Raw genomic sequence first — 12,626 nt, 5'->3', positions numbered from 1 at the left:
CAGCCAAGTTTACTTGCTGTATTAGTTCATTTTCAGCTGCAGATAAAGACATACCCAAGACTGGGCAATTTACAAAAGAAATAGGTTTCTTGAACTTACAATTCCACGTGGCTGGGGAGACCTCACAATCATGGGGAGAGGCAAGAAGGAGGAAGTCACATCTTATGTGGATGGCAGCAGGCAAAGAGAGCTTGTGCAGAGAAACTCCCCTTTTTAAAACCATCAGATCTCATGAGACTTATTCACTATCAGGAGAACAGCAAGGGAAAAACTCACTCCCATGATTCAATTACCTTCCACTTGATCCCTCCCATGACACGTAGGAATTGTGGGAGTTACAGTTTAAGATGAGATTTAGGTGGGGATGCAGCCAAACCATATCACTTGCTTTTTCAAGGAAAGACAGAATAAAATTCTTAGATATCACTGGAGTCAAAATAATGGCATAAAACCTGTGGGTATTTATGTCTTACATTACTAGAGATATTCTATGTAGGACTTCAGAAAGCAGGTTTTTGTCAGTTTTTTTTGTACAACCCTTTCTGATTATGTATTTTTGCTTCTCTTCATAAAATGTAATTAAAAGAATTTTTTTAATTTTAAAGAAATTACCTTCAGTATATCTGTATGTTTTTCTACATGTTTTTATTAAACTATCTATTACATGCTGAATAATACCCTTGAATAAATCAGTATTAAAGGAGTCAGGAATATGAACCTAATTTTTTCTAAACATGCAAAAGCAAAGACTGTTTGTTTCTCTAGGTTTATAAGTCAAAGATTAGGCAGTTTCACTGTTTAATTTGGCAAGTTGAACATCTGGCTTTAGGAAACTTCAATATATCTACTGAAGAAAATTAGTCAAGGATGCTAGGATTACTATTTCATCTAGTTACTATAATAGCATCTTGCTGCCTTCAAAAAATGCATTACTGTGTCCTCAGGAATACATATCTGGACAGATGTGGGCAGAATGTCTCATTGCGGAAGCTATAGACCTAATTGAGCTGAAGGATTTCCAACTTTCATTTACCCTTGTTCACATATGAAAAGAAGTTATGTTCCCCCAAATAACTGATATTTGAGGATTTTATTATCTTCATTTGGGAAGAACATAACATTATTTTCCCTCCACAATGTAGTTTAAAGTAAACAGCAAAAGCCATTTGAATGAAAACATCACAGAGCTCTTCTATATTTTTGGTTTTAGTGGACAGATTCAATTTTATATTATGATCTTCCTTGCCTTTCAGAACCACATTATTCCCAAGTATTAGTGGTTGAAAAGAATCCAGCTTTCTTGCTTCATTTTTGATAGTTTCCCAAATGTAATCTCAGAAATGTTTTCACTTTATAGATGACAAAATAGAAATCTAAACTGATTCATTGATTCATTCAACAAATACTTATTTAGTGCTTAATGTTTGCCAAGTACTGCCACTAGGTCTATAGCAGTGAGAATAAAACATCCATCTGTTTACCTGGAATTTTCATTCTAAGGTTTGGTGAAGGCATCTCTAGTAAACAGTTAAATAAATATATATGAGGTATAATTTTAGATAGATATCAATGCCTTGAAAAAAATACGATGGCAATGGTGGAAGAATAAGTGGAATTAAGAAGGAATAGGCAGCCGGGCGCGGTGGCTCATGCCTATAATCCCAGCACTTTGGGAGGCCGAGGCGGACAGATCACAAGGTCAAGAGATTGAGACCATCCTGGCCAACATGGTGAAACCCTATCTCTACTAAAAATACAAAAATTATCCAGACATGGTGGCATGCGCCTGTAGTCCCAGCTACTCTGGAGGCTGAGGCAGGAGAATCGCTTGAACCTGGGAGACAGAGGTTTCAGTGAGCCGAGATTGCACCATTGCACTCCAGCCTGGCGACAGAGCAAGACTCCGTCTCAACAACAACAGCAACAACAAAAGAAGAAGAAGAAGAAATAGACAAGAAAGACCACCTTGAAGAGGGGATGTTTGAGCTCCAATCAGAAAGACCAATGGAAATCAGTAAATAGAGGAAAAGCTTGAGAATTTACGAACAGACTGGATTTGCCATTAAAGAGATAGAGGATACAGCAAAATATAAAACAAAATAAAACAAGCAATAACATAAAATAAAAAAGCAAAGATGTAAACAGGCATAAGTAGTGGTTTTTGCCTACATTTTTCTACTATCCATCTCAATACATCCTTGTTGCAAGAGCTTAAAAAGATGAATGGAAAAGGCCCTACTTTTAGCCCTCCATACCTCTACTTTTTCCCCAAATTAACTGCTCCTAATAGAATTTTTTAAGCATTTGTCAAAAAATTTTCTGCAGATGTGTACACACAAACACATACACATATTTCTAAATGTTTTCAACAAACTGGATCAAATTCTATATTTTGTTCCAGAATTTTCCTGTTTCTGCTAAAGTGCCCTTAAGGCTTAGCAACTAATGTATATCAGGAGATCTTAGACTATATTAGTCCTCTTAATAATTACATAATATTCTACAGTCTGAGTATATTATTAAACTTAAATATTCTTCTATTGATTAGCATTCAAATGGTTTCCCATGTTAACTATTTAAAGTGATGCTGCAGTTGATATTCCTGAATGTATATCTTTATTCCCATTTGCAAGCATTCCTTAAGAATAGAATAAAAGACATAGGATTTTTGAATTAAAATATGAGTAAAATTTTGATTTGGGTATAGATATTGTCAGTTTTCTATCAGTAAAAACCCACAATTTTAATTTTTAACTATCTTGGGGAAAAAATGCCAGTCTCTCCACAGCCTTTCCATGGCTGTTATCAATTATATATGTTTGACCCAATCGAAAGCTAACACATAGTAAATCGTTGTTTTTATTAGCATTTTCCTAGTACAGTTGAGCCTCTTTTTGTGCATTGATGATTTTTTATATATATTGTCCTCTGTTAATTATGCATTTGTTTTATTTTTTATTTGTTCATTGGAAAGTAAGGTTTTTATGTATTTACTTATAAAAAAATTAACACTATATGGCACTTTATATCAGTCTGCTATTAACAAGAATATACAGTTTACATGTACAAGTATCTAAACTTAAACATTTACTGATTTTTCTTGCTCACAATTATCTCTTATGCTTTTATCTTTCCTCTTTTTTTGTGGAATCATAATGTATCTTTTGAAAATGTACCTCAAGTAATTCTTCCAGAAATGTGTCCGTGGTCATAAAACTTCTGAGTCTTTACATATGTGAATATATAATTTTGCTCTCCCTTTTGAATGGTGTTATTGCCTAGTATAGAATTCTATGCTTAAAAGCATTTTTCCATAGAACTTAGCAAATATTTTTTCCACTGTTTTCCAGTATTTGATGTTATTTTGTTGTTCATTCTTTTGTAGATAACTTGGGTTCTTTTTCTTTCTGGATATGTTTTGGGTGCCTTTATTGTTGGCATAATGAAATTTAATCACAATGTATATAACTAGATGTTTAGAAACCAGTTTAGAAGTAGATATTTTTATGTAAGTCTGTGGTCATTTTGTGGGCTCTTATGGAATGAATACTCATGTGTTTCTTCAGTTATCCGAAGTCTTTTATTAAGTATTTGATCTTTCTTTACCCAATTTTTTATACTATCTTTTTTAACAAGTTCTGTAAGATCCTGGAGGATACACTCTCTCAAAATTACCTTTGAACTTTATTCTCATATCTTACACGGTTTTGATTTTTTTGTGTTTAATTCTTGGTCTTGACTTGATTATTTAGCAGACAAATTTGTCGTTTAAAATAGTTTCATGTTATTCATTCCTGATTTTTTAAAATTTTTATTTCAAATGTAAGGGGTACATGTGCAGGTTTATTATCTAGGTATATTGTGTGATGCTGAGGTTTGGGGTACAAATAATCCCATCACCAGGGTACTGAGCATAGTACCCAATAGGTAGTTTCCAATCTTTGTACTTCCCTTTCTACTCTAGTAATCCCCAGTTTCTATTATTGCCATCTTTATGTCCATGAGTATCCAATATTAGCTCCCACTTACAAGTGAAAATATTCAGAATTTTGGTTTTATTTTCCTGCGTTAATTCACTTAAAGTGATGGCCTCTAGGTGCATCCATGTTGCTGCAAAGGATATTATTTCATACATTTTTATGGCTGTATAGTATTCCATGATGTATATGTACCACATTTTCTTTATTCCATACACCATTGATGAGCACCTAGGTTGGATTCCAATATTCACAATATTGCTATTGTAAATACTGCTGCAATAAACATATGAGTGCATTTGTCTTTTTGGTAGAACAATTTATTTTCTTTTGAACATATACCCAGTATTGAGATAGCTAGGTTAAATGGTAGTTCTGTTTTAAGGTCTTTGAGAAACCTCCATAGTGCTTTCCACAGTGACTGAACTAATTTACATTCCCACCAACAGCACATAAGCATTCCCTTTTCTCTGTAGCCTTGCCAGCTGTTGTTTTTTGACTTTTTAGTAATAGCCATGCTTGCTGGTATGAGATGGTATATCATTTGCATTTCTCTGGTAAGTAATGTAGAACGTTTTTTCATGTTTTTTGAGGGTTTTTATATCTTCATTTCAAAAGTGTCTGCTTATGTCTTTTGCCCATTTTAATGTTTTTTTTTTCTGCTTATTCAATTGTTTCAGTTTCTTATAAATTTGAGATATCAGACCTCTGTTGGAAGTGTAGTTTGCAAATATTTTCTCCTATTCTGTAGGTTATCTGTTGACCCTGTTGATAGTGTCTTTTACTGTACAGAAGTGCATTAGTTTAATTAGGTCTCACTTGTCAATTTTTGTTTTTGTTGTAATTGCTTGTGAGCATTTAGTCATAAAAGATTTCCCAATGCCAATGTCTAGAATAGTGTTACCTAGGTTTTTTTCTAAGATTTTTATATTTGGGTCTTATATTTAAACTTTTAATGCATCTTGAGTAAATTTTTGTATATGATGAAAGGTAATGGTCCAGTTTCATTCTTCTGCACATGACTAGCCAGTTAGCCCTGAAGCATTTATTGAATACAGAGTCCTTTCCTTGTTGCTTATTTTTGTTGAATTTGTCAAAGATTAGGTGGCTGTTGGTGGGCAGCTTTATTTCTTGTTTCTCTATTGTATTTCCTTAGTCTATGTGTCTATTTTTGTACCTTACCATGCAGTTTTGGTAACTGTAGCCTTATAGTATAGTTTGAAGTTAGGTAATATAATGCCTCTGGCTTTGTTCTTTTGTTTAGGATTGCTATGTCTACTTGGGCTCCTTTTTGGTTCCATCTGAATGTTTAAATAGATTTTTTTTCTATTAATAGTTCTGTGGAATTGATGTTGGTGTTGTGAGAGGAATAGGCTTGGATCTGTAGATTACTATCAGCTGTATGGCAATTTAACAACATTGATTCTTCTAATCTGTGAACACACAATGTTTTTCTACTTGTTTGTATTATCTATGATTTCTTTTAGCAGTGTTTTTTAGTTCTCCATGTAGAAATCATTCAGTTATTTGATTAGGTGTATTCCTAGGTATTAGAGTAGGAAGGGGAGAAGGAACAGAATAGAGGATGCTCTATGGCAACAAGGTTTATTGAGCAAAGACTTGCAGAAGGGGACACCAGCTAGCACCAGAGCTTGCCCCTGCTTACCAACGGGATAGTTATAGGCATGGGCAGGAGAGTCCTGGGATTGTTACACAAAGGGATGGGGCAGTGTGGTTATCTGCTGATAAGTGAGGAATTTTCTGTGGACAGGCAGCTAGGCCTGGGACTTCTCCAACAGGACGTTTCTCATGGCCCGAGCCCTAGTGGAATTGTTTACTCTGACCAGGGTTTGCAAAATGATGAGAATTTACAAAATAGTGCAGCTTAGGGTAACACTAGTTATGTTTTTGTTTGTGTGGCTATTGTGAATGGGATTGCATTCTTGATTTGGTTCTCAGCTTGGACATCATTGGTGTATAGAAATGTTACTAATTTGTGTACAATGATTTGGATGATTTGGTATCTTGAAACTTTACTGAAGTTTTTTTTTTTAAATAAGTTCCAGGAGCCTGTTGGCAGGAAGTTTAGGGTTTTCTAGGTTTAGAATCATATCATCTGTGAAGAGAAATAGTTTGATGTCTTCTTTTCCTATTTGGATGCCTTTCATTTCTTTCTCTTGACTGATTGTTCTCACTAGCACTTCCAGTACTATGTTGAATAGTAGTGGTGAGAGTGGGCATCTTTGTCTAGTTCCAGTGTTCAAAGGGGAATGCTTCCAGTTTTTGCATGATATGGTTTGCCTCTGTCACCATTGAAATCTCATCTTGAAATGTAGTTTCCATAATCCCCACATGTCATGGGAGGGACCTGGTGGGAGGTAATTGAATAATGGGGGCTGTTACCTCCATGCTGTTTTCACTATAGTGAGTGAATTCTCATGAGATCTGATGGTTTTATAAAGAGCTTTTCCCCCACTTCACTCTGCATTTCTCCTGGCTATTGCCATGTGAAGAAGGATGTGTTTGCTTTCTCTTCTGCCATGGTTGTAAGTTTCCTGAGGCCTCCCCAGTCATGCAGAACCGTAAGTCAATTAAACCTTTTTCCTTTATAAATTACTCAGTCTCTGGTATTCCCTCATAGTGGTGTAAGAATGGAATAATACAGTAAATTGGTACCAGTACAGTGGGGTGCTGCTGTAAAGATACCCAAAAATGTGGAAGTGACTTTAGAAATGACTAACAGACAGAGGTTGGGACAGTTTGGAGGGCTAAGAAGATGATAGAAAAATGTGGCAAAGTTTGGAACTTCCTAGAGACTTGTTGAATGGCTTTGACCAAAATGCTGAATAGTGATATGAACAGTAAAGTCCAGGCTGAGGTGGCCTCAGATGAAGATAAGAAACTTCTTGGGAGCTGGAGTAACGGTCACTCTTGCTATGCAAAGAGGCTGGCGGCCTTTTGCTCCTGCCCGAGATCTGAGGATCTTTGAACTTCAAAGAAATGATTTTGAGTATCTGGCAGAAGACATTTCTAAGCGCCAAAGCTTTCAAGTGGAAGTAGAGAATAAAAATTTAGAAAATTTGCAGCCTGACAATGCAATAGAAAATAAAAACCAATTTTCTGGGGTAAAACTCATGTCATCTCCAGAAATTCACATAAGTAATGTGGAGTGGAATGTTAATCACCAAGACAATGGGGAAAATGTCTACAGGGCCTGCCAAGGACTTTCATGGCAGCCCCAACCATCTTAGGCTCGGAGGCCTAAAAGGAAAAAAATGGTTTCCTGGGCCAGGCCCAGGGCCATCCTGCTGTGTGCAGCCTAGGGACTTGGTGTCCTACACCCTAGCTGCTCCAGCCATGGCTAAAAGGGGCCAAGCTACAGATCACGCTGTTGCTTCAGAGAGTGTAAGCCACAAGGCTTGGTGGCATACACATGGCATTGAGCCTATGGGTGCACAGAAGTCAAGAATTAAGGTTCGGGAATCTCTGCCTAGATTTCTGATGTGTGAAAAGCCTGGATGTTCAGACAGAAACTTGCTGCAGGGGTGGAGCCTTCATTGAGATCCTCTGCTAGGGCAGTGTGGAAGGGAAATGTGAAGTTGAAACCTCCACTCAGGGTCCCCACTGGGGTACTGCCTAGTGAAGCTGTGAGAAGAGGGCCAACATTCTCCAGACCCCAGAATGGTAGATCCACCAACAGATTATAACTTTTCCAGGCACACAACACCAGCCTGTGAAGGCAGCCAGTAGCGGGGCTGTACCCTGCAAAGCCACAGGGGCAGAGATGCTAAAGGCTGTGGGGGCCCACCTCTTGCATCAGCATTACCTGGATATGAGACATGCAGTCAAAGGACATCATTTTGGAACTTTAAGGTTTAATGGCTGTCTTACTGAATTTTGAACTTCCATAAGCCTGTAGTCCCTTTGCTTTGGCCAATTTCTCCCATTTAGAATGGATGTATTTACCCAATGCCTGTACTCCTATTGTCTCTAGGAAGTAATTTACACTTGCTTTTGACTTTATAGGCTCATAAGTGGAAGGGACTTGCCTTGTCTCAGATGAGACTTTGGACTTGGATTTCTGAGTTAATGTTGGAATTAGTTAATACTTTGGGGGACTGTTGGAAAGGTATGACTATGTTTTAAAATGTGAAGACATGAGATTCGGGAGATGCAAGGGCTAAAATGATATGGTTTGGCTGAGTCCCCACCCAAATCTCATCTTTAATTGTTGTTTCCATAATTCTCTCTATTTTCATTACACTGTGGTCTGAAGAGTATGGTTGCTATGATTTTGATTTTTTTCAATTTATTGAGACTTGGTTTATGACCATGCATTTTCTTGATCTTGAAGTATGTCTATGTGCAGACAAAAAGAATGTATACTCTGCACTCTGTAGTTGATGGGTGAGATGTTCTCTAGATGTTCAATTGGTCAAGTGTTGAAATTAAATCAGAATTTCTTTGTTAGTTTTCTGCCTTTATGATTTGTCTAATGCTGTTAATAGTATGTAGAAGTCCCCCATTATTATTTTGGGTCTTGTTTTTTTTTTTATGCAACTTGCCACTCTGTGTCTTTTAAGTGCAGCAGTTAGACCATTTACATTCAAGTTCAATACTGATATGTGAGCTTTTGATCCTGTCATGAAGTTGTTAGCTGGTTGCTTTGTAGTTTCTATTGTGTGGCTGATGTATGGGGTCTGGTAGGCTAGGTACTTAAGTGAGTTAAGGCAGGAGAATTGCTGGAACCCAGGAGGCAGAGACTACAGTGAGCCGAGATTGTGCCACTGCACTCCAGCCTGGGTGACAAAGTGAGACTTCATCTCAAAAAAAAAAAAAAAAAAAAGAAATGTCTTTGTATTAATTTTTAATCTTTTCTGGATCTCATTGAACTTTCTTACAATTCATGCTTTGCAGTTTTTAATATTTTTTCTGTCATTTCTGAGTTTCCATTTTGACTAGTGACCACTGCTGGAGAGATAGCATGAACCTTTGATAGTTTCACCACATTTGGACTTTTTATGGTACCTGAATTCTTGCACTGGTTTCTTTGCATCTGGAAATGCTGGCATTTTTAATTATTGCAATTGATTCATGGAGGTGAATTTTTCTTTTTCCTTCTTTTGCTATAATATTATTGTGCTTTTTCATTTCTTTTCTCTTTCCTGTTTTCCCTAGGGTATGCAACTGTAACATATGCTGGGTAGGGTCTTTTGGCTTTGATTCTGTAGCCATATGCCCTCCTGTTGGCAGGTTTTATATCAGGCTGTACAGTAAGATCTACCAGCCAGTGGATGGCAGTTATCATTAAGAGCTGGCTGCAACCCACGAGGCTGGGTATATACTTTATTCTTGTTCACTGAAAGCTCTCTGTTGCCTCAGTCAGTCGGCTGATTTGTGGAATGCTCCCTCCTCAGCCCCAGGGAAGCTGGGGCCATCCTGGCAAGAGCTAGATCAAGCAAGTCCATCTACAGGTCCTCCATTGGCAGACACAAACTCCAGTAGCTAAGAAGAATCCAGTGGGTGGCCATCAATTGCCCAGACCATTGCCTGGGCATGGAGCTGAGAAACCTCTCTAGCCCCAGGTTCTCTCCAGGGATAGGAGAGCAGCCTAAACTCCTTATCCAGGAGAGCACGCGCTCCAGATGCCTGGAGATCTACCTGGATGTGGAGCAATAAGGGTTCCCTGCTCCACACACACACACAGGAGGGGTGGAGTTACTCAGACTGCTGACCCAGGTCAGCTGGTGCTATGAATCCCTGGTGATCTGCCTGGGCATGAAGCAGAGAAGGCCTTCCTGCACCAGAATCTCTGCACAAGAACTGTGTGGCATATCAGGCTCCTGATTCAGGTGATTGGATGCTCCAAATGCCTGGAAATCTGCCTGGGGGTGGAGTAGAGAGGGCCCTGCTGTAGCAGGATCTCAGCAGTAAGGCTAGGGCATACTGTACTGGCACACATAGATGGGTTATAGGTCACCAAGCTGGCCCTGGCTGCAAGTCTTCCAGCCCAGGAGAAACTGCATCTGTAGCAGCTCTCCTCCCTGCCCTACACTTGCAACAGGGGAAAGCACAATTGCAGCATCTATCTCTGAGGTGCTTTCCAGAGTTCCCACTGTGGAGGCCTCTACTCCACTCCAGAGCAGGTGCTCCAGTATTTGACCCAAGACTGAAATGCCTGAGCAGCCACAGTGCCGGGTCACCAAAGAGGGGCTGACTTTGCATGTGCCCAAATTAAAAATGGCACCCTGCTCTTAGTCCCGGATCAGGGAAAATGTCTGCAAATTTTTCCCATGTCTTTCCCTCATAGCATCTTCAAGCCTCTTACAATATTAGCTCTAGGTCTTGGGAGAAACAAAGTGCTCTCCCTTGGTGTATGTTGCTTGGATCCACAGTGGAAAGGTGAGTCATAGAGTTGGTGGAGGGGGGTCTCCTCTCTCAGGTACTGGGGCTTCACTCAATTTTATCAGCTAGACAATGTCACAGGGGCTGTTTGCTGCATCCTCCTCCCTGGGGTTGGCATATACTTCCTAATTCCAGTGGATTCCTATTTTTCTTTTTGAATTCAATTTCACAGAGTTGATTTTTATGCACTGTCTTGCTATTTCCAAGTGGCTGAAGCATGCTGAAAACCTCTAAACCACCATTTTGGAGTAAAAAATGCTAGATTTATTCTTTTCATTATACTTGTTTGTTGTCCTCAAATTTTTGATAATTATACATTTTGTAATTTTTTTGGTCATAAATCCTATTTACCTCCATATTTTCTCTGTGACTTACAAAAGCTTATGACTTACAAAGAACTTATGGTGATTTTAGAGGGAAAGGTAAATATTGTGTTGGTAGCTTTTCATCTAGATGTCAAAAATTATACTCCCTTCTCAAGGTCAGTAGATAGACTTCATCTCCAATGTCAACACCCATTCTATTTTAGCTTGGTGACAAACAGCACTCCTTAACACAATTGGTGGTTGTGGAAAAGGAAGGAGAATAGGCTTAGCTGTTGCATCTTAATATGTTAAAGTACGTAATCATTTTGATGAGTTAATTAGTGGAATATGGACCTTAAACTCCCGTGAATTATATCTTTTTTTGTTTGTTTGTTTGTTTGTTTTTGAGATGGAGTTTCTCTCTGTCACCCAGGCTGGAGTGCAGTGGCACAATCTCGGCTCACTGCAACCTCTGTCTCCCGGTGTCAACCATATTTTTAGTCATTCAATCACAGCTGTTACTTTCTTTGGCTTATTTTATTCATACATCTGATCCTGTTTGATTTCTGTTGTTCAAAGACTCCTTAATATTTCTGATCCATTGATGTAATTATTCCTACTTCTTCTAGAATTTTATAGTTTTTTTACTGGCATCCCACTGAAGTTCAGAAATGAGAGCATATAGACATAAAAGCTCACTTTATTATAGGATCCATTTTTCCACAAAGGATCATTTTACTGAATAAAAGCATACACACAGAAATATATGTCATAGGTAAACATCATAATAAATATTCATAACATGAAACTGCTAGATCAGCAACACCTTGATTAAAAGTGGAACATTACCAGTATTTCAGAAGTCTCCCTGTGCCTTTTCTCATTGATTATCCTTCTCAATGTAAATAGTCTCCTGACTTATAATATGACAGAAAAGCTCTGATAGATGTGAGTTTTGTGTAAATGAAATCATCTACTATAAAATATTCTATTTTCTTGGCTTCTTTTGCTCAACACTATGCTGTGAGATTATGTTATTCATTGTATCAATAGTTAATTCTCATTGCAAAATATACATTCATTCATAAAAATATATAATACATAAACATATTGCATGTTGAAGTCCAATACTTTATCCATTTTTTTAATGGCCATTTGGATTTATGCTCTTTGGGCTTGTATCATTAGTACAACCATGCATATCCTTGTACATGTCTTCATTGAGAATGTACATTTATTTCTCTTAGTTATATATGTAAGAGTGAATTTGCTTCTATGTAATCTTATGTTCAGCTTTAGTAAATACTCCCAGTCTTCTAAAATATCTACCACACGTTAAATCACTCCCTCAATATATGAAGTTGCAAATATTCTATATCCTTGCTACTGCCTAGTATTTTCTATCTTATTTTAAAATTTTAGCCATTATTTTCTGATGAAGTAGAGGCATTGAATCATTTTTAGATTTTTATATATAATGCGATTTGTCTTCAATAAATATGATGTCACCACCAGTAGGATTTACCTTATACTCAATACAAAATGGTAACCCTATCATTGTTTTCATTTGTTTTTCTTGATAATTAATATAGGTGAACATTTTTGTGTTTGTGCTCTTTAGATATTGTCTTTTTTTAAAGTATCACATGCAATTTTTTATACATTTAATCTTTTTATTTTAAATTATTATGAATATATAGTTGTGCATATTTATGGAGCACATGTGCTCCATAAAATAAAAAAAAATAAGATGAATAAATAAAAAACAAAGTATTATTTGGTTAATGATTATTTATTGTATATATAAATATTATTCCAATAAGTCCTTTTATTGAAATTTTATTTATTGTGCCATAGTGGTTAGCAAATATTTTGCAAAAAATTCAATTCAGGAAAAATATGTACTGTTGTTATGAAAACTCACCATGTAAAAAATTAT

The 12,626-nt window shown here is 37.1% G+C and overlaps 1 annotated feature.

The window, feature by feature from the left end:
* Positions 9,652-10,152: an enhancer, noted in NCBI's record as "H3K27ac hESC enhancer chr17:51123434-51123934 (GRCh37/hg19 assembly coordinates)". NCBI's record gives its function as "activates a minimal SCP1, AML or CMV promoter by ChIP-STARR-seq in naive H9 embryonic stem cells {active_cell/tissue: H9 hESC(naive)}" and the evidence as "EXISTENCE:reporter gene assay evidence [ECO:0000049][PMID:30033119]".

The sequence above is a fragment of the Homo sapiens genome, chromosome 17 (assembly GCF_000001405.40).
Source record: "Homo sapiens chromosome 17, GRCh38.p14 Primary Assembly".
NCBI lineage: Eukaryota > Metazoa > Chordata > Mammalia > Primates > Hominidae > Homo > Homo sapiens.
This window is presented reverse-complemented; position numbering and strand designations above follow the sequence as displayed.